Source organism: Homo sapiens, chromosome 20, assembly GCF_000001405.40.
Source record: "Homo sapiens chromosome 20, GRCh38.p14 Primary Assembly".
Classification (NCBI taxonomy): Eukaryota; Metazoa; Chordata; class Mammalia; order Primates; family Hominidae; genus Homo; species Homo sapiens.
In genome coordinates, this window is record NC_000020.11 from 23,281,233 (window position 1) to 23,286,832 (window position 5,600).

The window sequence follows — 5,600 nt, forward strand, 5'->3', positions numbered from 1 at the left end:
GGAGGCTGAGGCAGGAGGATCACTTGAGCACAGGAGGTCAAGGCTGCAGTGAGCTATGGTCACGCTCCAGCCTGGGTGACAGAGTGAGACCTTGACTCAAAAAAATAAATAAAAATAATAATAATAATTATTATTATTATTATTATTTTGAGATGGAGCCTTGCTCTGTCGCCCAGGCTGGAGTGCAGTGGTGGCAACTTTGGCTCACTGCAACCTCTGACTCCCAGGTAAAATTAATTAATTTTTTAAAAATTAAATTTCAAACAAACATTGAGCTATGACAATTCAAATGCAGCTTTACGAATGCCTCTCATTCTGATGTCATTGTCTCTTATGTTAATTAGCCATTGAGCTAAAAGGGAATCTTTCAAAATTTCACAAAACCCTCCGTGTTTCCCACAGTTCCAAGTCAGGTCTAACACCTAGGTAAACACAAGGAATGTTCAAATAGGTATATGCTTAAAATGGAAATAAAAGGCAATTTCCCAAGTGAAAGTCTTCAGTTTCTTAACAAAGGAAAATGGCCCCTTTCATTTGCACTGGTTGTGAGACCTTTCTTTAGTCAGAAAACGAGTTTGCACCAGTGTGGCCCATTTAAAAGAATGGCCCACAACATGACATTTTTTATTTAAAAAAAAAAAAAACACAGGAGTGTCTGGGCATGGTGGTCATATCTCTAGTCCTAGTGCTTTGGAAGGTTCAAGTGAAAAGATTGCTTGAGCCCAGGAGTTCGAGGCTTCCCAGCCTGGACAACAAGAATAAAGCCCTGTCTCAAAACAAACAAACAAAAAAAAATTCAGGAGTTACGGGTCTACAAGTGATTTAGGGAAAGAAACTGACTCACTTCCTTAGATCCCAGAGAAATACAGCTGTGTCCACCAATTCTAAACTGAAATTGATTTGAAGAAAGTATTAGAAAACAGCTCCATAACCAGAAAGAAAGAAAAAGAAGGAAGGAAGGAGGGAGGGAGGCAGGGAAGGAAGGGAGGAAGGGAGGAACGGAGGAAGGGAAGAAGGGAGGAAGGGAAGGGAAGAGAAGAGAAGGGAAGGGAAGGGAAGAGAAGGGAAGGGAAGAAGAAAGCATTTGCCTCCTCTCTTTGGACTTTATCACTGAAGATTCATATTGGAAAAAATAAATTTAAAAATTCAGTGAATTCTCTAAGATTTAGATATTCTTAGTGTTTATGTTTTTTATATCCAGAGAACAGAGTTGAATTTTGTAAAAACAAAGGCTTTAATTATGGAGGCAGCATTGTACTATTCAAAGAAAACATAATAACATAGTGAAAGTTTTGTTATAAAATTCCTGAAGGAAAAATGCCTTACTCTGGATTATTACAGAATAGATACTGGGACAAGGATCTGGGGACAAGTAGGTTATTAGAGACAATCCCCAGAAACAGGAGGGGGAGGTGATCCTGGGCAGGGAGGACACCCAATGAAGATACTTCCATGTGGAGCTAACACTGTGGGTAGCCGGGCTGGGTCCCACCAGGACTACTTGGGGCATCTACTCAGCAACCCCATCCCTTCCTCCTGGCTACAGAAAAAAGGGGTTAACTCCACTCAGCCTCTATCCCTGGCAGGCAGGCAGACAGGTCCCCAGGCTGAAAGCCACAGGATGCCCTAAGTGGGTAGAGAGCTGTGCTCTGGGGACTTCCAGTGTGGTCCGTGGGGATACCGGCATTGACAGCATCTGCTACAAAAATAACTCTGTTATTGTTGGTGAATCTGCAATTCCCTATTGCCAGCCCTGCTTTCCCCCCTGGAATCCTTTGTTTTTATCCTTTGTTTTATTGGCTGCACGAGATTTCTTAGAAACATCAATAGGGCGTTACTGCTGAACTGACATCCTGACCTGCACCTGCTGGTCTTTAGTAACCACTATTTCCTTCTTCCCTCTCCCCGTGTCACGCCTAGGCCTCCTGCAAGCCAGTGTTGGAGTGGGGTGGGAGGAGAGCCCAGGCCCTTTGGGAGGCAATGTGCCCTGCCGCAGCCCACACCTGAGCGGACACCCCTGGTGGCCTCTCCCTCCTGGTTGCAGGCACAGAAAATGATGAAGGCAGCCCTGTTGGATACACTTGAGTTGCTGCAGAGGAGAGATGGTGTGGAGCCCGCCTTCCATAGGATGTAGAGCCCTTGAGGGAAAGAAGCCATGAGGGAGTGGTAACGACAATGGAACTTTGCAGGAAATTGTGAGTCTTCCTCAAGGTGAGAGTTTCAGGGAAATCTAGATCCTTTCCCTGTGGTTGTCCAGGCCACCACAAGCCCTTCAGAAGTTAAGCATTAATAACAGTCCAAGTCCACGGACCTGGCAACTTGGTGATGGCCTAGCGGTTCCAGCTTTCTGGGCAAGGGAGGGCAGGCACCTTGCTGCCTGCAGTTGGTGTCTGGAATGGCTTCCGGGATAGATTTCCGGAGCAGCCCCTCTCACTTCCATGAGGACCTTTTAGGTCCTCTAAGAGCCTTACCTCAGACTCTCATCCCAGGGACCCCACTTTGGGCACCCTAGGTTTAGAAAAGACGACTTAGGATGGGCTCCCCAGGGCCTCAGCAACCACCTTAGAATTGACGGAGATGAGTTTCCCCTGAGTGGCCATTTATTTATTTTTGTTTGTTTGTTTTTCAACTTTTATTTTAAGTTCTGCAGTACCTGTGCAGGATGTGCAGGCTTGTTACACAGGTAAGCATGTGCCATAATGGTTTGCTGCACAGATCATCTCATCACTTAGGTATTAAGCTCAGCATCCATTAGCTATTCTTCTTGATGCTCTCCCTCCCCCACCCCCATCCCGACAGGCCCAGTGTGTGTTGATCCCTCCCCCTGATGTGTCTATCACATGTTCTCATCATCCAGCTCCCACTTATGAGTGAGAACATGTGGTGTTTGGTTTTCTGTTCCTGCATTAGTTTGCTGAGGATAATGGCTTCCAATTCTATTCATGTGCCTGCAAAGGACATGATAGCATTCCTTTTTATGGCTGCATAGTATTCCATGGTGCGATGTACCACATTTTTTTATCCAGTCTATCATTTATGGGCATTTAAGTGGATTCCATGTCCTTGCTATTGAATAGTGCTGCAATAAATGTATTTGAGCATGTACCTTTATAATAGAATGATTCACATTCCTTTGGGTATATACCCAGTAATGGGATTGCTGGGTCAAATGGTATTTCTGACTCTAGGTCTTTGAGGAATCACTGCACTGTCTTCCACAATGGTTGAACTAATTTACACTCCCACTAACAGTGTATAAGTGCTTCCTTTTCTCCACAACCTCACCAGCATCTGTTGTTTTTTGACTTTTTAATAATTGCCATTCTGACTGGTGTGAGATGGTACCTCATTGTGATTTTGGTTTACATTTCTCTAATGATCAGTAATGCTGAGCTTTTTTTCATGTTTTTTGTCCACATGTATGTCTTCTTTTGAGAAGTTTCTGTTTATGTCCTCTGCCCACATTTTTAATGGGGTTGTTTATTTTTTTCTTGTAAATTTGTTTAAGTTCCTTGTAGATTCCGGATATTAGACTTTGTCAGATGGGTAGATTGCAAAAACTTTCTCCCATTCTGTAGATTGTCTGTTCACTCTGATGGTGGTTTCTTTTGCTGTGCAGAGTTCTTTAGTTTAATTAGACCCCATTTGTCAAGTTTTGCTTTTGTTGCAATTACTTTCAGCATTTTCGTCATGAAATCTTTGCCTGTGCCTTTGTCCTGAATAGTATTGCCTAGATTTTCTCCTAGGGTTTTATAGTTTGGGGGTTTACACTTAAGTCTTTAATCCATGTTGAGTTGATTTTTGTGTAAGGTGTAAGGAAGGGGTCCAGTTTCAATTTCCTGCATATGGCTAGCCAGTTCTCCCAGCGCCATTTATTAAATAGGGAATCCTTTCCCCACAGCTTGTTTTTGTCAGCTTTGTTGAAGATCAGATGGTTGTAAGTGTGTGGTCCTATTTCTGAGTTCTCTATTCTGTCCCATTTGTCTATGTGTCTGTTTTGGTACCAGTGCCATGCTGTTTTGGCTACCGGAGGCTTGTAGTCTATGTATCTGTTTTGGTACCAGTACCATGCTGTTTTGGTACTGGTTACTGTAGCCTTGTAGTATAGCCTGAAGCCAGGTACTATGATGCCTCTAGCTTCATTCTTTTTGCTTAGAACTGTCCTGGCTATTCAGGGTCTTTTTTGGTTCTATATGAACTTTAAAATATTTTTTTCTAATTCTGGGAACAATGTCAATGGTAGCTTAAGGAAACAGCATTGAAGCTATAAATGACTTTGGGTAGTATGGCCATTTTCATGATATTGGTTCTTCCTATGCATGAGCATGGAATGTTTTTCCATTTGTTTGTGTCCTCCAAGTAGCTATTTCTGTGAGCATTTCCTCACCTGGTCCCAGGATCTGTGAGGGGCCCACTAGGTTCTGGCTTCATCTAAACCACCAGCTCTTGGCCACCCTCACTGGGAAGAGATACACAACTGGTCAGGGCTCACCAGCGATGGCCTTGCTGTTTTCCTGTGTGGACTCAGCATGTTTGCCAGACACCACAGAATTAAACCCACCCCGCTGGCAGGAAAGGAAAAAACTCCAGGCTGTGCACCACCACACAGAGTGTCTTGCACACATACAGCCACACTACACATTTTAAAATTAATGAATGCATGAGTCAATAGATTAAAGTGATTAAATAGTTGTTAGTAACAAAGAACCTTTAACCAGTCACATCAATTTGCATCTGTCTCTGAAATGGGACTTTTCTTAAATGTGTATGACATGATAGCCTTGGGAGATTGTTATGTCTAACCACAATAGAAAGAGTTTTCTTCCAGCAAGGCACAGTGGCTCCTACTATGGAATCAGCTACTCAGGAGCTGAGGTAGGAGGCTCAGTTGAGCCCAGGAGTTCAAGGCTGCAGTGAGCTGTGATCACACCACTGCACTCTAGTGTGGGTGACAGAATGAGGCCCTGTATCTAAAAATAAATAAATATTAAAAAATTAAAAAGAATTTTATTTTAGAAAGGGTATAATTAAGTGGATATTAGTTAGAACTCTTTAAGATACAAATGACAAATGCTCAGTAAAAATTTAAGGAAAAAGGGAGAGAATGTATTGGCTCTTTCAATGACAAGTCCATGGGGCAGACCTGGGGATCATCGGATGCCCTCTGTCTTTTCCAATTGATCCTTCAAAAGGACTCTGGCTGGGCCTGCCTGAGTCACTGGTCCACTGCAGCACTGATACGAGTGCCACAGTGGGATCTGTTACCGGACTGGCAGCGTTGGTCATGCACCTTCTGTGCAAGGAGCCGGCAGGGCTCCTGGGTGGCAGCACCGCCTGGAGTTGGGGAGGGAGACAGAACACAGGTGCCCAGCCCTATAATAGCCCGCACCAGGGAGCAGCGTTGAGCCAGGCCCCATGTTTATCTAATGACAAAATCAGGGGCTCATTCAGCAGGGTCATTGCTTTCAAAGTGTGATGTATTTCCAAAGGAACAAAGATTTAGAGGATTTTAAAGAACAAATGTTCAAAAAGATGTCAGCAGAATGTCAATACGATGGGCATGGAGTTTACCTAGATGGAGGGAGACTGACAAGGCCCAT